Consider the following 19,105-nt stretch of genomic DNA (forward strand, 5'->3'; position numbering starts at 1 on the left):
AAACCCTATCTCTACTAAAAATACAAAAATTATCCGGGCGTGGTGGTGGGGACCTGTAATCCCAGATACTCAGGAGGCTGAGGCAGGAGCATCACTTGAGCCTGGGAGGTGGAGGTTGCAGTGAGCAGAGATTGCACCATTGCACTCCAGCCTGGGTGACAGAGCAAGACTCTGTCTCAAAACAAAACAAACAAACAAAACAACAACAACAACGACAAAAACAACGTGTGTTCCAGGCCCCACCAACCCACAGAGATCAGTTCTGACAGAGCTCACATACAGGAAACAAAGATGAGTCCAGAAAGAAACCATGGGACGCAATTGTGCCCAGATCAGAGAGATTCACAGATGCGTTGGCTTCACCCTCTTCTTCTGTCCATCTGGGAAGGTTGGTCCCATGCTCAGGCCCACTTCGCCCACTCCCTCCATAACATTCCAGGGAAACTAAGCACCCTCTGGGGCCAGCAGGCTCTTCCTTGCTGGAGACCCCCAGCCTGCCCGTTTCTGAGATGTGGATCTTTGGAGGCAGGCCAGGATTTGAAGCTGACCTTTGCCACTTACTATCTATCCATGTGTGACCTTGAGTAAGTTTCTCGACCTCCCAAGAACCTGATGAGTAAGTGCCACCCTTATCACCATCACTCCCACCTCGCTGGTTAGTGAGGAGTCAGTGAAGTACGTGCAGGAGGCTTCTCACAGGGCTGATACTCACGTGCTCAATAAATGGCAGCTAGTTTGTCTTTGTTTTTGTTTTTTTGAGACAGGGCTTCACTTTGTTGCCCAGGCTGGAGTGCAGTAGTATGATCAATCGCACTGCAGCCTCCATCTCCTGGCCTCAAGAAATCCTACTTCAGCCTCCCAAAAGCATGGGATTAAAGGCATGAACCACTGCGCCCCGCTTGGTAGCTGATTTTATTGTTTATAGTCATTCTCCTCAAGGCCTCAGTGTCCCTGGAGTCCTCTCTATGTTCTCCTCTCTCTTCAGCTCTTTCTTACCTCTGGGACACTAGAGTTCCCCATTGGCTTTTCCTATCCTTGCTGCATGGTGGGGCTCAGGCTTCCAATCTAAGCTTTCAGCCACTTACAAACCAACAGGGAGACAAGCTCTGTCTACCTAGACACAGAGCTCCCCTTACCTGGGCGACTGGGCAAGGACGGTCAGGTGGACCAAAAGGAGAAGGGGACCCTTTTTCTGATCAGCTAAGAAGCAGCCCAGGGCTGTGGGGTTACTAGGGGAGTCCCAGCCTTGCCTGTGCTCACCTTGGTGTTGCCGAACCTGAACTGCTCCCGGTCCACATCGATGGAGTTGAGGAGCTTCTCTGAGGCATTTTTGCTGTCAATGAACTGCCCTTCAGGGATAGCACTGGCATTGAGGATCCGGTACCTAAGGAGAGAGGACATTTCCCAAATGGATTCCAATCCCCGAAAGGCTTCATAGCTGAGACCAGCCTTCTAGAATCTTCTCCTGCTCAAGCCTTAGGAGGAAGTGGAATACTGTACAGCTGGTCTGGGAGATGGGAATAGCTAGGGACTGATTCTAGCAAGGGGGCTTGAATCAGCCCCCTTGGGAGAGAAGCAAGGTGGGTGGGAGAGAAGCATGAAAGAAGGGAGCCCAGCTGAGTGCATGGCGGGAAGTTTGCTTTCAGAGGAAATGGTTCTTCTCTGGCTTAAAAGAGGCCTTGAAATCAACCGTGACCTGTAGGCCGTGGTTCTCCTACTTCTGGAAGGTCCTCTCCTGTCCTCCATCCTGGACAAGGCCCGGACTTGTGCAACCCAATGGTGGCTCAGAGGAGAGAGTTAGTCTAGAGCTGCGGGCCTCAGCTGGGTGTGATTTGGCAATGTCTAGAGAGTTTTGATTGTCACAGCTCAGTGGGGAGGGGTGTGGTTTGCTACCACATCTCTTGAGTAGAGGGCAGGGTTACTGCTAAAATCCTCCCACACCCAGCACAGCCTCCACAATAAAGGATGATCTAGCCTGAGTGTCCATAGTACAGAAGTTGAGACATCCTGGTCTAGAGTCACAATCAGGCTAGAGGGTCTGGGATCTGAATTTGGAACCACTTGGGCTGGCCCACTCACTGTGGGCATGGGATCAGTTCCTCTAGCAAGAGATGAAGTCTGTGGAAACTCTGGGGGACTTGGGAGCTCACCAAATACCCAGGTCAAGAAATGTCTTAGGGAAATGCAAAAGGTGCCCTCGGAAGGAGAGAGATGCACAGGAGAGAGGGAACCTACCGCTGCTTGAAGTCAGCATAGAGGATCCGGCTGGGGAATCCCTTCCTGCAAATCCGGATGCCCTCGAGGACCCCGTTACAGCGCAGCTGGTGCATGACCAAGTAGTGGTCCATCACACCTGGAGAGAGAACGTCCCGGGGGTGTGCCTGTGACCCCTTCATTTGTTGTTGATGGTCTGAGGCACCATGAGACCCTCCAACACATCCACACTTGAGTGGGAGAGTCAGTGAGTGGGAGAGTCAGTGCCAGCTCCAAGGTAGAGGGCTGGGGGTGGCTAGAGCCTGCCTGCAGGTCCCGCAGTGAAATAATCCCACCCTCTTGGGGAGATGCTAGCACCCCATAACCGTGGCAGTAAGAGCCAAAGCATTGTGCTTTCTGTCCTCAGCCCTGACTCTGCAGCAAGGCTGCAAAAGCTGCAGAGTGAGTACAGGGTGCACTTGGGCTTCCCATGGGATAACCCGAGATGTCTTCTTGCATCTACACAAAGATGGGGATGGAAAAATCTGCAGGCTGTGGCTGCAGAAGAGTAACCCAGCAAAGAAGAGGAGGCCGGCTGGGCGCGGTGGCTCATGCCTATAATCCCAGCACTTTGGGAGGCCGAGGTGGGTGTATCGCCTGAGGTCAGGAGCTCGAGACCAGCCTGGCCAACATGGTGAAACCCAGTCTCTACAGAAAAATACAAAAATTAGCCAGATGTGGTGGCACACACTTGTAATCCCAGCTACTTGGGAGGCTGAGGCAGCAGAATCACTTGAACACAGGAGGCGGGGGTTGCAGTGAGCTGAGATTGAGCCACTGCACTCCAGTCTAGGCAAGAAGAGTGAAACTGCACCTCAAAAAAAAAAAAAGAAGAGGCCGTGGGAGGGGACCCAGAAGGGGGTTGAAGGTAGGGCGGCGGTCATCTGCTGACCACTCAGCCCCTGCTATAGGAATTGGGGGAGAAATGGAGCTTGGCTGGAAGGAGAGGAGCTAGAGGGGCAAGCCCCTTTGGGGAGGTAATGTGGGTGCTCGTGGTAACCAGCCTGGGTCAGGCACAAATCAAACTAGGATGGAGAAAATTCTGTCTCAGGTCTGCGTGAGGGGTTAGAGGACAGGGGCTACGGCAACCTGATGGCTTCTCTTTGTGGGCTCCCTAAGTTGCCGGGGTGGGAGTGGTGGGGCCAAGGCTGGCTTTGACTTAACCTTAGGGAAGCTTCTAGAATGCCCACGTGGTTCCCTGGTAGCTGTGGGGAGACATCACTATACAATTAGATGATTTTTAAGGCTTTGGTAGAGCTGCACTGTCAGATACCGTAGTGACCAGCCACATGTGGCTATTTACATTTAAATTCATTAAAATTAAAAATTAATTAACATTTTAAAACTTTTCATGTAAATGTAAACATTTCATGTAACGGTGGCCACCCTATTGAACAGTGCAGACATGGGGCATTTAATCATTTCTGAAAGTCCTATCAGGTGGTGATTCTCTAGAGAAAACATGGTTGAGAGCAAGGAGAAAATGTCTCAGACATTCAGAGAACTGGCCAGGTGCAGTGGCTCATGCCTGTAATCACCGCACTTGGGAGGTCGAGGTGGGTGGATCACCTGAGGTCAGGAGTTCAAGACCAGCCTGGCCAACATGGTGAAACTCCATCTCTACTAAAAATACAAAAATTAGCCGGGCGTGGTGGCAGGTGCCTGTAGTCTCAGCTACTCGGGAGGCTGCGTCAAGAGAATCGCTTGAACCCAGGAGGCGGAGGTTGCAGTGAGCCGAGATTGTGCCACTGCACTCCAACCTGGGTGACAGAGCAAGACTCAGTCTCAAATAAATAAATAAATAAATAAATACAATAATTAAAAAATTCATAGAACCGCCGATGTGGAGAGAACCTTAGCAATGGTCTAATTCGACTCCCATGAGCTCTCAGATGATGATTCTGAGTGGTTAAGATCCCAGCTATGCTGTTTACTAGCTTCGCGGACTTGGCCTGTCTCTGCCTCAATTTCTTTATTTGTAAAATAAGGATAATAATGTAGGTTGAGCATCCCGATTCAGAAAACTCAAAACCTGAAAACTTTTGAGCTCCAACCTGATGCCACAAGTGGAGAATTCCACGACTGACCTCATGAGGCAGGTCGCAGCCAAAACTGTTTCACGTACAAAATTATTTAAAATATTGTATAAAATTACCTTAGGGCTATGTGTATAAGACCCATATGAAACAGATGAATTTTGTGTTTAGACTTGGTCCCATCCCCAAGATAGCTCATTAGGCACATACAAATATTCCAATATCCACAGAAATTTAAAATTCACAACACTCGTGGTCCCAAGCATTTCAGATAAAGGGATAATCAACCTGTAGTATCTGCTTCATCAGGTGGTTGAGGATTACATGAGTTAAGATGAGTACAGGCCCGGTGCGATGGCTCACGCTTGTAATCCCAGCACTTTGGGAGGCCGAGGTGGGCGGATCGCCTGAGGTCAGGAGTTCGAGACCACCCTGGCCAACATGGTGAAACCTCTTCTCTACTAAAAATATGAAAACGTAGCTGGGTGTGGTGGTGCGTCCCTGTAAATCCCAGTTACTCGGGAGGCTGAGGCAGGAGGATTGCTTAAACTGGGGAGGCAGAGGTTGCAGTGAGCTGAGATGGCGCCACTGCACTCCAGCCTGAGCGACAGAGTGAGACCCTGTCTTGAAAAAAAAAGAGAGAGAGAGAAAAGATGAGTACAAAGGTTAAAATGGTGAAAGCAGGCATGATTAACACTTGCTTTAACCATGTGGCTGAGGCCTCTTTCTTCTTAAGCACCGGGAGCAGAGAGAAAAAGGCATAGTTACAAGAGAATTGAAGCTTCTAGAGCCAGAAGAAAGCTGAAAGGACCATCATTTTACAGTGGGGAGGCCAGAGATGCCACCATGCTTGCCAGGCTGTCCATCCTGTTAGGGGTCGTGTCCGACTTGGACTGGGAGATCTTTTCTAATTCCCGCAGAGGCATCCTATGGGGTGGCGGGGCACTGGGGGAGACTGAGGCCCAGAGAGGTGAAGGGCTTTGCAAAGCTGTAGCAGAGCCGAGACGCCACTCTTCTCTCTCACAGGGCCCCTCTGGTTTGTGCAGACTCAGAATCCTGAGCTGAGTTCTCTTAGGGCTTGCTTTGTTTTTCCTTAAACCCGGCCTGAGATGTTTTCTATCAGGTCCACGTAAAGGGCCTCCTTTGCTTTTGTACCAATGCGTAAAACTTCTAAAAATTCCCCTGAGCTATTCTCTCATCCTTCTGCTCCAGCCGCTGAAGGGTTTTTCCTCTTTATTTCTCCAAGTGTATCACTTCCATCCCACTCCTTTCTCCAGCCATCTTGGCCTCTGTGGGCAGTGGTATTAGCCATGCTTTTGAAATATGCTGTATCTTATGATGATCCGGCATCATGGGGCCTCCTCGCTGGCTCAGGAGAGACTGCCCTTCCCGGGGCTAGCCATTCCAGGAGATGGCAAAAAAGCCTCCTGCAAGCACGTCTTTCACATGCAAACCAGCCATCCAAAGCCCTTAACCCCCGACCCCTACCTTTATCAGGCTCTCACAGGGCTCTTACACTCTGGGCCAATACTTCCCTGTCCTGGTCACCTCAGGGCCCCAGGTACCGGCCAACTTGAGAAAGTCCCTACATTTTGAAGCCTGCTGAAACCATTCAAACTTGGCAATGCTGAACCTGCTTGGCCTGTTCATGCTACCTCGCCTGCTCCATCCCATGGGAATGACCCTCGAGGCTCTGGCCTGTGATTTCTCCTTACTCCCCCAACCCCAAACCTAGCTCTGGTGCTTCCCCTCGTGGCCCTCTGTGGCAGGCCCCCTCCTCTTGAGCACTGTGTCTTTTTTTTTTTTTTGAGAAGGAGTCTCCCTCTGTCACTGAGGCTGGAGTGCAGTGGTGCAGTCTCGGCTCACTGCACCCACCGCCTCCTGGGTACAAGCAATTCTGCTTCAGCCTCCCAAGTAGCTGGGATTACAGGCATGCACCACCACGCCAGGCTAATTTTTGTATTTTTAGTTGAGACAGGGTTTCGCCATGTTAGGCTGGTCTCAAACTCCTGACCTCAGGTGATCCACCCACCTCAGCCTCCCAAAATGTCGGGATTACAGGCGTGAGCCACCATGCCCGGGCGTGACTGTCTTTTTAATGGTAACCATCTTCTGGTCTGTTGGCCTCACCATCCCTTAACAATAATAAAACCTACATTTAAAAACAGCAGCAAGCCAGCTTTTGGTGAGTCAGCAGCACAGACTTAGCAGGCTCCAGGTTTGCTGCAAGAGGAGAACGAGAGGAGTAGAGGCTGGAGCCTGCTCCCGAGGGGCCCTTGTTCAGCAGGCGAGCAGAGGACCTGTGCCCGTGAAGTCCTAGAGGATTTGGGAGAACAACTAGCAAGCCCCGTATGTGCCTGTGGGTGGGGAGGGACTTGAGATTTGATCATGGATCGTGACTCCCAGCCCCTGCTCTAGGTGCCCTGGGGTAAGGCATGGAAATCTCCATAGTCTCTAGTCTTCTAGAAAATAAAGAGGGCACACTAGCTGCTTTCTAAGGTGTCACCAGGCTTCTGTATTCGTGTTGGGCTATTCCCAGAAATTGACATGAAAACAGAGAGGTAGGTGCCAGAGCTAAGGAGAAGCAAATGCAACAGGAAAGGACAGACATTTCAGCAACATTTACCTTCCCAAAGAAAATGTAGGGCCGGGCGCGGTGGCTCACGCCTGTAATCCCAGCACTTTGGAAGGCTGAGGTGGGCATATCACGAGGTCAGGAGATCGAGACCATCCTGGCTAACATGGTGAAACCCCATCTCTACTAAAAGTACAAAAATTAGCTGGGCATGATGATGTGTGCCTGTAGTCCCAGCTACTCAGGAGGCTGAGGCAGGAGAATAGCTTGAACCAGGGAGTTGGAGGTTGCAGTGAGCCGAGATCGTGCCACTACACTCCGGCCTGGCGACAGAGCGAGAGTCTGTCTCAAAAAAGAAAAAAAAGTAAGCCAGTGGATTACCAAAAGCATTCCTCCCAGAGGCACAGTTTGAAGCCATCCCCCACCACCTTGCAGGCCATCTGCTTAGAGAGGAGTCAGGCCACAAGCATGTTTGATTTATGCAAACATGTACTCAACGACGACAGTAACAGAAATGGATATTTTCCAAGACCTACTACAAGCCAATGATTTCGTGTGATTCTTAACCAAAGAAACCACTCTTCCCAACACTGGAGAAGCCGGCTCATTGGTCAGGAGGCTGCAGGATGCCCCAGATAATGCATATATCACAATGATGTAGTTGGTTATTGCTTTTGACTTAGACTTTAGAACCTAACTTTCATGGAAGATGCAGTTTCACTAACTATAACACACCTGGCTATTGGGGATTTAAAGTTTATAGTTCTGAGTGATAATAATAATAATAATAATTAGCATCCAACATTTGCTGGGTGTTCACAATGTGCTCAGCCCTGTTGTAAATGCTTGACTTGCACTTACTCATTGAACCCTCACGACAACCCTCTAAGGTGGGTTAAATGAGCTAATATTTGCAAAGTGAGTAACCACTTTATGAGTGCTTATTAAAGAAGTAAATAATAGATTAAAATGCCACTTTTATCCTTGTTTTTTTTTTTTTTTTGTTTGTTTTTTTTGAGACGGAGTTTCGCTCTGTCGCCCAGGCTGGAATGCAGTGGCACGATCTCGGCTCACTGCAAGCTCCGTCTCCCGGGTTCACGCCATTCTCCTGCCTCGGCCTCCCGAATAGCTGGGACTACAGGCGCCCGCCACCACGCCCAGCTAATTTGTTTGCATTTTTAGTAGAGACGGGGTTTCACCATGTTAGCCAGGATGGTCTCGATCTCCTGACCTCGTGATCCACCCGACTCGGCCTCCCAAAGTGCTGGGATTACAGGCGTGAGCCACTGTGCCCGGCCTATCCTTGTTTTATGGACAAGAAAGCTGAGGCAGAAAGTGCTCAAATACTCTGCTTAGGATCACGTGGTAATAGGTGAACTTTTCCCCCCCAACCCCCCGACAACGTATACCTCTGTTCACTCATAATGTTGCAGAGGCAGAATGTTTAATCCTGAGCTGGGAGGCCCGTGTTGGGCATAGAACAGCTCAGCTGGTGAGTTAGCTACCCCATAGCCACAGCTCCGTGTGACAGTTTGTTTTCCTTTTTGTGACAAATGACACTGAAAAAGCTAGACTCCAAGAATATTCGCAAATCAGGATGAAGTGACAGTTAAAGGAGTCCTCTATTGCACAGGGTTCTATATTTATATATAGTCTGTATTGCACAGGGTTCTGTATTTATATATAGTCTCTGATTCTCAGTTTTCTCATTTATAAACTGGAGATCAATACGCGTATCTTGCAGAGAACTGTTGCAAGGATTCGAGGTAATATAACAAAGTGATTGACATGCAGTATGGCTTCAAACAGTTGTTATTGATGCTATTTTGATTATGGGATACCCAAGATGATTATTTGCCAAATGTAGTGGTATTTAACTTTGGGGTAAACAGAGCCTTTATCTTATGAAAGCTGTGGCTCTGATGTGCCTATATACATACACACAATATTTTGAATATGATTTCGTAGTAGGGGTGCCAGATAAGATACAGATGCCCTGCTGAATGTGAATTTCAGATAAACAATGAATACTTTTTTAGAGGAAGTATATTCCAAATATTGCATAGGTCACACTTAGACATTTTTCATTGTTTAACTGAAATTGAAATTTAATAACATTTAATATGGCATTTGGTTTTTAGCATTTTTGTGGTTACATAATAGTTGAACATATTTATGGGGTACACATGATATTTTGATACAAGCGTGAAATGTGCAAAGATCATATCTGCATAATTGGGATATCTGTCACCTCAAACATTTATCATTTCTTTGTGTTGGGTACATCCGGTATTTTTATCTGCTAAATCTGGCAACCCTATTTCAGAGACTACTTTCAGAAGTGATACAGACCATCACTCTTTCCAAACGCACACCCACAGAATTTTGCATTTATCTCAGGGCGTCCTGTTCTGTTCAAATACTTGGCAAGATCTGCTGGTACTCACCAGGAGTCTTGGTCTCATTGGGAATCAGACATCGTACAAAGTGAGGGTGGGTGCTCCTTAAGTTAGTCATCAATTTGTTTAAATTTTCCTGGGACATAAACCAAAACAAGCACATTTAGCAACTGCCATTTCACTGGGGAGAAAAACAAGTGAATATGGAAGCTGCCAAAACACCAACCCTGAACACGGCCGACACGGTCTGGAAAGAGGAGCCCTTCTTCTTCCCGCCCTTCTTGCTTCCTCCGGAGTCGCCTGGAGACAGACACAGAAGAGCGTGTTAGATGCATCCCAGAGGACCCAGCAGTGGGCTTCCTGAACCACCTGTTCCCAGCCCCGAGTTCTGGTTTCCTTTTGACATAAGAGACTTGAGGTTTTGTTTGTTTGTTTTAGACGGAGTGTTGCTCTGTTGTCCAGGCTGGAGTGCAATGGCACCATCTCAACTCACTGCAACCTCCACCTCCCGGGTTCAAGCCATTCTCTTGCCTCAGCCTCCCAAGTAGCTGAGACTACAGGCGTGTGCTACCATGCCTGGCTAATTTTTGTATTTTTAGTAGAGATGAGATTTCACCATGTTGGCCAGGCTAGTCTCGAACTCCTGACTTTGGCCTCCCAAAGTCCTGGGATTATAGGCATGAGCCACCTTGCCTGGCCTGTTTGTTTTTAAAATGCCCCCAAACTACCCAGGATTAAGAACCCTCAGCTTTATCATTGTGGGAATGGGGTGGGAATGGGGTGTGGATAGCATTTAACTGGGAGTATAACTTAAACTCTCAGTAGAAAAGGGGAGTCCTTTCCTTTAGAAATCAGAGCTGAAAGCAAACTGAATAATTTGCAAGATTGAGATGTCCCTCTTAATGTTTGTAGTTTCTTTTTTTTTTTCATTCTTTTTGTTGTTGTTGTTTGTTTGTTTTAAGATGGAGTCTCGCTGCGATGCCCAGGCTGGAGTGCAATGGTGCAATCTTGGCTCACTGCAACCTTCGTTTCCCAGGTTTAAGCAATTCTCCTGCCTCAGCCTCCCAAGTATCTGGGACTACAGGCGAGCGTCACCATGCCTGGCTAATTTTTGTATTTTTAGTAGAGATGTTTAGTAGAGAGTTTCACCATATTGGCCAGGCTGGTCTTGAACTCCTGACCTCAAGGGATCCGCCCACCTTGGCCTCTCAAAGTGCTGGGATTACAGGCGTGAGCCACCGTGCCTGGCAATGTTTGTAGTTTCTTTCATGAATTTACCTCCTTTTATTCTTTAATCCCTGCTTATCTCTAAAGAGTAAGTAACTGAAAGTAATAAAACGGAATTTTCTCAACAATATTTTATAAGTTGATTTCTTTTTCTTTCCTACAGGAAACAACCCAATTTGCCATCTTAATTTGGAGTCTACTTTTTCTGAATGACTCAGTTTTCTCTGATACTTAATCAAGATGCAGCCTTGGGGGAAAATGTCATGTCCCAGTCTCCCCCATGTTCCTTTCCCTTCATCCCACTTTGTCCCCGGGGTCTAGCATGACTGTGTGTTTGGATTGGGGAAGTGAAGGCAGGAAAGTCGCTTCCCCAAATCCGCATCCACACAGGGTCTTATGTTAGAGTTGATGTTATCTCTAGGCGAGGTTATGCAATGTAGTTACAGAGACATTGTGATTAGATTCAAAGAAAATGATTTTCATCATTGAAGTTTACGCATGTGCCCATTTCCTATTTATTACATTCCCTGGCCCAGAGGACATTAGGCTTTCATTTTTAAAAAATGATCTCATTATCTAATGAATAATTATATTTCATATATTTTATTAATTTATTAAATGTATGCATTTAAAATGGCATATAATGTTAAAACTCTATGTTGGCTACTATTTAAAAGTATATTTACTGGTAATCTTAAAAAGTGTTACTGGCTTGTGTTACTTATTTATTTGTTTGAGATAGGGTCTCACTCTGTCATCCGGGCTGGAGTACAGTGGCCCAATCATGGCTCGCTGCAATTTCAGCCACCCAATCTCATGTGATCCTCCCAGCTCAGGTTCCCAAGTAGCTGGACTACAGGTGTGCACCACCACTTTTGGCTAATTATTTTATTTTATCTTATTTTATTTTGTTTTAGAGACAGGATCTCTATGTTGCCCACACTGGTCTTGAACTCCTGGCCTCAAATGATCCTTCTGCCTCAGCGTCCCAAAGTGTTGGGATTACAGGTGTAAGCCACCACGCCTGGCCCCTGTGTAACCACTCTGGAAAAGAGTTCAGAAGTTACTCAAAATTTTGAACACAGTTATCATATGACCCAGCAACTCTACTCCTAGGTACCGTATATATATACCGTGTATACCCAAAAGAATTGCCAATATATATTCACATATAAACTTCTATACAAATGTTCATAGCAACATCATGCACAGTAGCCAGAAAGTTCATCGGCTGATGAATGTGCAGACAAAATGTGATATATTCATACAATGAACTATTATTTGTCCATAAGAAAGAACAAAGTCCTGATACATGCTACAACAGGGCCAGACCTTGAGAACAGTAACCTGAAAGAAGCCAGACACAAAAGAGCATCCAGTATATAATTCCATTCACATGAAATGCCCAGATAGGCAAATCTACAGGGACAGAAAGTTGATGAGTGGTTGCCAGAGGCTAGGGATAGAAATCTGCTCATGGGGACAGGCATGATGGCTCGTGCCTATAATCCCAGCACTTTGGGAGGTCGAGGCGGGTGGATCACAAGGTCAGGAGATCGAGACCATCCTGGCCACCATGATGGAACCCTGTCTCTACTAAAAATACAAAAAATTAGCCGGGCGTGGTGGCGTGCGCCTGTAGTCCCAGCTACTTGGGAGGCTGAGGCAGGGGAATCGCTTGAACCCAGGAGGCAGAGCCTGCAGTGAGCCGAGATTGCACCACTGCACTCCAGCCTGGAGAAAGAGCAAGACTCTGTCTCAAAAAAAAAAAAAAAAAAAAAAATCTGCTCATGGGTTACGGGGGTGTGAAAAATGTTCTCAAATTCCACAGTGGTGATGGTCACACAACATTGTGAATATCCTAAAAACCACTAAATTTTTTTTTTTTTAATAGAGTCTCACTCTGTCACCCAGGCTGGAGGGCAGTGATGCAAACTCCATTCACTGTAACCTCTGCTTCCTAGGTTAAAGCAATTCTCCGGCCTCAGCTGCCTGAGTATCTGGGACTACAGGTATGTGCCACCACACTCGGCTAATTTTTGTATTTTTAGTAGAGATGGGGTTTCACCATGTTGGCCAGGCTGGTCTCAAACTCCTGACCTCAAGTGATCGGCCCCCGCCTTGGCCTCCCAAAGAGCTGGGATTACAGGCCTGAGCCACCATGCCTGGCCAAAACCACTAAATAGATTTAAGGGTGAATTTTATTATATGTGAATTATACCTCAGTAGAAAACTATTAAACAATGTGATGTTGACTATCTTGGCCACTGAGAGGTCCTGTTTACCTCCATAGAGCCCAGTCTCTTACAGAAGAGGAAGAATAAGAGCAGGAGGAAGAAAAATGGAGCTGAAAGAGAAACATCATACTCAGCTGAAGCTCATGTCTGATTACTGGTTCTTCACAAGCAGCTCTGGGTTAGGAGTCATTACATAGAACGTCCCACAGAGGGAAAGAAATGATAGAATTTTACCTGTCTCTGCACCAGCATAGTTGGAAAAAAGGAAGGAGAGAAGCTTCAGCGAAGACTTCTGGTACAGCCCCACCACAGTCTCGTTCAGGGGGTCCTTGTTTTTGTCCAGCCAGCCGGCGATGTTGTAGTCCACGGTGCCGGCATAGTGCACCAGCGAGAAGTGAGCCTCAGCCTTGCCTTTGGCAGGCTTGGGCTTCTGGAAGTTGTTGGATTTTCCAAGATGCTGGTCATACAGCTTGTTCTTGAAGGAGGTGTCTGTTGCCTTGGGGAACATGCACTCCTCTTCCAGGATGGAGAAGATGCCCATAGGCTGGAAAGAGGATAACAGAGTCTACATATAATAGTGCATACCCATGCTTCATGGTCTGGAGAAGCCAAAAAACCTTCTTTGGTGCTTTCACTCTGGTACCAGGAATGCTGGCATGTACGCTCGGTGAGAGCAAGACTCTTGGTCTGTTTGGGGGATGACCAGAAAGTGCTAGGCATAGAGTATGTGCTTAATTAATATTTGCTGAACAAAAGAATATAGGATAAAATTATGTGTGTATAAACCTAGCATACTTTTTTCAATAGGTGTACAAAAAAGTAAAGTTTCATATATAGCCATAAAGTAATGTGAGTAATATTTTGAACAATAATGTCCCAATTTCTCAGTAGCCACCTTAGGAAGATATACTCATTCCAACATGAGCAGTGCTCAAATATTATGGGAATTCCTTTTTAAAAAGTTAATGTCGGCCGGGCGTGGTGGTTCACGTCTGTAATCCCAGTACTTTGGGAGGCTGAGGTGGGTGGATCACAAGGTCAGGAGTTTGAGACCAGCCTGGCCAACATGGTGAAACCCCGTCTCTACAAAAAAAAGAAAAAAAAAATTATCTGGGCGTGGTGGCGGGCACCTGTAGTCCCAACTATTCAGGAGGTGGAGGCAGGAGGATCGCTTGAACCTGGGAGGTGGAGGTTGCAGTGATCCGAGACTGCACCACTGCACTCCAGCCTGGGTGACAGAGCAAGACTCCGTCTCAAAAAAAAAAAAAAAAAAAAAAGTTAATATCTATTCCTGTTTTCATATTAACATCCCTCCAAGAGCCACACTGCTCCATGGTTCCGCCTCCTTGGGTCTTTGGGTAAGTCAAATAGGTAAGAAATGCCACAGTCCTTACTGGGGTTCCATCACATTCTTGGAGATAACTGAGCCCTTGGATTTTAATGACCCGTAAACCTCTTTAAGTGTCAGAACAGATTTAGGACATTCATTCTCTTTGCAAATAGGCATTCAGTTATCTATCTGAAGGCTTGCAGCCTGGGGGCTAGGGGCCCCAATCTGTGAGCAGAAAAGAATCAGAGCAAGAAGGGGAGGGCCCCCAATAAGGAGGAGCTGTCCCAGGCAGCAGTATCTCTCTACCTTCTCGATGAGCTCGATGCAGGCAGCCAGGTCCATTCCGAAGTCAATGAACTCCCACTCGATGCCTTCCTTCTTGTACTCTTCCTGCTCCAGCACGAACATGTGGTGGTTGAAAAACTGTTGCAGTTTCTCATTGGTGAAGTTGATGCACAGCTGCTCCAGGCTGTTGAACTGGGTGATTCAAATACCAAAGAATTTGAGTGAGCTTGGAAAATACATTGGAGATTCAGCAAAGCAGACAAGAAAGTAGAAGGTCACAACTCACATCAAAGATCTCAAAGCCAGCAATGTCCAAGACCCCGATGAAGTACTGCCTGGGCTGCTTGGTGTCCAGCTGCTGGTTGATGCGGGTGACCATCCACAGGAACATCTTCTCGTAGACGGCTTTGGCCAGAGCACCCACCGAATTGGTCACCTTGAAAAAGGATCACCCACTCAACCCTTGAGTTAGTGTTTCTATGGCTGCATTAAGTTGAAACATATGAAATTGACTCGAAAATCAAAAGCTGTTGGCTAGGCGTGGTGGCTCACACCTGTAATCCCAGCACTTTGGGAGGCCAAGGCGGGCGGATCACGAGGTCAGGAGTTCAAGACCATCCTGGCCAACATGGTGAAACCCCGTCTCTACTAAAAATACAAAAATTAGCCAGGTGTGGTGGCAGGCGCCTGTAGTCCCAGCTATTCGGGAGGCTGAGGCAGGAGAATCACTTGAACTTGGGAGGTGGAGGTTGCAGTGAGCCAAGATCGTGCCACTGCACTCCAGCCTGGTGACATAGCGAGACTCTGTCTCAAAAAAAAAAAAAAAAAAAAAACAAAAGAAAAAAAGAAAATCAAAAGCAGTTGAATATTGGCAATTTCAGATCATTCAATGCAATATTAAATATTTTATGAGGTGTTTGCCCAGCTCATGTTGTTCACCTTTCTTTGAGAACTATCCTATTCACAAAGATATTTTTCTAACAACATGGTTATAGCACATGACTCCAGCCCCTGGCCACACTTAATTAGACCAGAGGTGAACACTTGATCCAGATTGGATTAATTGAGTATCTCTCCTAAGAATTTGGAATAGGGATCAAAAGACACTGGTCTCAGTCTCAGGGTGAGGCTGGAAACACAGAGATATAAACTTGGGAGCTATGGGGTGGCCACGGGCAAGAGAGGTCCAGGAAACTTATCTGCCTAGCAAGGACACAACAGAGGAGAGACTCAACAGCCCATGAATCCCAGAGGAGCTGGAGGGAGGCTGCCTGGCTCCAGAGGGCTCTTCACTTTCTAATTCCAGGTCCTCATGGCGTCCAATGGGCACTTAATGATTTGCATTCCTTCAGTTGCCTCTGAAGCCTAAAAATGAACTTCCTCTTAATGTGAAAGCTGATTTCATGTGCATTTCTGATACCTGCAACTGAAGGAGCTTTAAGATAATGGCTCAAATAGCAAAAGATCTCAATCAACTGGATTCAGAGCATCTCCATTACCTGCTGGACATTTTGCCCTTTAGTGACATATTCATTGCCAACCTTCACCCTTGGACAGCACAGGCCCTTCAGCATTTCTGCAGAATTCAGTCCCATCAGGTATCCGGCTTTGTCAGCCACTGAAGGAAGAGAAAAAAATGGCATCATGCAAAAACAGTAGCTGCTAAAGTGTCCAGTCAGCCCCTGGCTTCTCCCAGAAGTGTTTTCTGTAATTTTCTTAAATGTTTTCATGTTGTCATATCTGTACCAGGTCTGGACTTGTTCACTGAAGCTTTAATCCCATATCCAGGGGCCCATGGTTCTCAGGAACTTCCAATTTGCCTCCTAGATGCAGTTTTAACAATAAGATACTCCGTGGCCAATTTTGACCTACTGATATTTCGATTTCATAAAAGAATGTTGATTACAGGCCAGGCACGGTGGTTCATGCCTGTAATCCCAGCGTTTTGGGAGGCTAAGGCGGGTGGATCACCTGAGGTCAGGAGTTCGAGATCAGCCTGGCCAATATGGCCCTGTCTCTACTAAAAATACAAAAATTAGCCAAGCATTGTGGCAAGCGCCTGTAGTCCCAGCTACTTGGGAGGCTGAGGAAGGAGAATCACTTGAACCTAGGAGGCAGAGGTTGCAGTGAGCCAAGATCGTGCCATTGAACTCCAGCCTGGGTGACAAGAGCAAGACTCCGACTCAAAAAAAAAATTAATTAATTACATAGTTATGTTGGAGTCTGACAATACGTTAAAATGTTATATGAGTAAAGGAGCCACCACTTGGACAGTTGACAATATACATGAGGCACCTTCCTAATTTAAGCAAAGTACCATGCTCATAGTTGAAAGAGAAGTACAAAACTTGACCCTCCCTTCAAATGTTTGGAGATGGTCAAAAGCACTTGACTTTTGGCTGTTTCCTACAGTTCATGGGTTATATATTTTCATATATTTCAGCAGACGTTCATTGACTTTGAGAAGGACCTGGGGGCCTGCATTGAGCTCATCAAAAAGGCAGAGAAATGCTGCTCCCCAGGGACTACTTCTTTTTTTTTTTTTTTTTTTTTTTGGAGACAGAGTTTCTCAATGTTGCCCAGGCTGGAGTGCAGTGGCGCGATCTCAGCTCACTGCAAGCTCCGCCTCCTGGGTTCACGCCATTCTCCTGCCTCACCTCCCGAGTAGCTGGGATTACAGGCACCCACCACCAGGCCCGGCTAATTTTTTTTTATTTTAGTAGAGATGGGGTTTCACCATGTTGGCCAGGATGGTCTTGATCTCCTGACCTTGTGATCTGCCCACCTCCCAAAGTGCTGGGATTACAGGTGTGAGCCACCTTGCCCAGCCCCCAGGGATAACTTCTTGGTTGGGACCCTTGCTTCATTGCTGGGTGGGGAGATGAGTTAATAAAAATCTAGGGCAGTCTATGTTAAGTACTTAATCAGAGGCCAGATGCGTGCTTTACTCTCTCCTCGAATTATCTCCTTTTCTTGCTTTGCCCATTCAGGTAGATGGTACCATTATTCTTCTTCTTGTCATTTAAACTTGAAAGGGGTGATACATCCTTCTCTCTCTTGCCCCTGACATTCCTTTGTTCAGACAGGCACCAAGTCCTGCTTATTTCACTCTCAAAATGCCTGGCCTCTCCACTGCTTCCAGCAGTTATAGTGGCCAAGAGCCTGGGCTCTAGAGTCGGACTGCTCTAGGTTTAGGTTTAGGTTTAGGTTTTGGTTTTGCTTCTTTGTGCCTCAGTTTTGTCTGTAAAATGGGAGACAGTGACAATACTCATGTTATACGGTTGTCGTGAAGCATGCCTGGTGACTAGTGAGCACCCAGCAAATATTAGCTTGGGTTGGTATCGTCATTGATATCATTGGAGCACTGGCCTTGATTATAGTCCTCCACTTTCTGCTCCTAAGCACTGCACACACACAGCTGCTAGGGCTGGAAGAGGGCCTGGGACCCTACTGAGGTATATCAATACGTGTATCAATGCAGTCCACTGTTGCTGAGGAGCCTGATACTCTTTTTTTTTTCTTCTCAAGTTTTCCCACTTTTGGTGAGCCTGGCTGCTGACAGATTAATTTCAGGTTGTCTGCATGTACTTCCCCTGCTACTTGGACAGCGGCTTCCGTGGCCTGCCATATATTCTAAACCATTCATCCTGACACTCAAGATCTTCCCAAACTGATGCAAAAATTGTTACTTTAAAATTCTCATTTCTTACAAATCCACTGCTTATATCCTGTTCTGTAGCCAAAGTGGACCACTCACTGTGCCTCCATCCCCATCACAGTTCATCCTCTGCCCCTTTGCACATGACCCTTCCTTCCTTCTCCCTTCCCTTCCCTTCCCTTCCTTCTCCCTTCCTTCTCCCTTCCCTTCCCTTCCCTTCCTTTCCCTTCCCTTCCCTTCTCCCCCTCTCTCTCTCTTTCTCTTTCTTTCTTTCTCTTTATTTCATGGAGTTTCACGATTTTCACCCAGGCTGAAGTGCAGTGGTACAATCTTGGCTCACTGCAACCTCCACCTCCCGGGATCAAGTGATTCTCCTGCCTCAGTCTCCCGAGTAGCTGGGAATACAGGCAGGCACCATTATGCCCAGCTAATTTGTATTTTTAGTAGAGAAGGGGTTTTACCATGTTGGCCAGACTGGTCTTGACCTATAACCTCAGATGATCCACCCACCTCGGCCTCCCAAAGTGCTGGGATTACAGGCGTGAGCTGCTGTGCCCAGCCTGCTCATGACATTTCTTCTGCTTGAACTGATCTCTCCCCCAATTTTTCAGAATCCTATTCATCCCTCAAAGTCCAAGTCAGTGCCCCTTCTATCAGGAAGCCTTCCCTGATTGCCCCAGTCAGAAGTGTTTCCTGTGTGAAGACTTGGAGTCCCCTCCACTGTGATGGGCAGGATTCTAGGATGGCACCCAAGGTGTGCCCCCTGGTGTACATGCCTTGTATAACCTCCTTTACTTGAGTGCAGTGGAACCTGTACAACTCCCATGATGCGGTGACCAATCAGTTGACTTTGAGTTAACAAAAAGGGAGAATTATCCCAGGCAGGCCTAGGATAGAAGGTTGGTAAGCATTTATGGGACACTGATAAGGTTATGTAGATTTTCCCACCCTTTAATTTATGGCTGCACTTCCTTTTTATTACTTGAGAGTTTAAAGCGCACTGCTTCACATACTGTGGGGCTGTAATCAAAAGGCAGAATTATCAAGAACGATCCATGTTGCCAGGCTTTAATTCAAGGAACTTGTAAGAAGCATCGTGAGAGCT

General features: G+C 46.9%; 1 protein-coding gene and 1 long non-coding RNA gene across 2 annotated transcripts in view; one reads left to right on the plus strand and one right to left on the minus strand.

Moving 5' to 3' along the window:
• Positions 1–10,620, plus strand: part of LOC107985004 (uncharacterized) — a 49,640-nt gene extending 39,020 nt beyond the window's left edge. The window contains exon 5 of the long non-coding RNA XR_007065617.1: positions 10,226–10,620. This is a non-coding gene — a long non-coding RNA (uncharacterized LOC107985004). The remainder of the gene's footprint in view (positions 1–10,225) is intronic.
• MYH13 (myosin heavy chain 13) overlaps positions 1–19,105 on the minus strand; it is a 72,142-nt gene that overhangs the window by 29,974 nt on the left and 23,063 nt on the right. The window contains exons 13-20 of the mRNA NM_003802.3: positions 15,842–15,960; positions 14,629–14,778; positions 14,364–14,534; positions 12,962–13,271; positions 9,490–9,563; positions 9,312–9,399; positions 2,236–2,353; positions 1,261–1,384 (exon numbers count right to left, since the gene is read on the minus strand). Coding sequence (NP_003793.2) covers positions 1,261–1,384; positions 2,236–2,353; positions 9,312–9,399; positions 9,490–9,563; positions 12,962–13,271; positions 14,364–14,534; positions 14,629–14,778; positions 15,842–15,960 — 1,154 coding nt within the window. The remainder of the gene's footprint in view (positions 1–1,260; positions 1,385–2,235; positions 2,354–9,311; positions 9,400–9,489; positions 9,564–12,961; positions 13,272–14,363; positions 14,535–14,628; positions 14,779–15,841; positions 15,961–19,105) is intronic.

This window comes from Homo sapiens, chromosome 17, assembly GCF_000001405.40.
Source record: "Homo sapiens chromosome 17, GRCh38.p14 Primary Assembly".
NCBI classification, from domain to species: domain Eukaryota; kingdom Metazoa; phylum Chordata; class Mammalia; order Primates; family Hominidae; genus Homo; species Homo sapiens.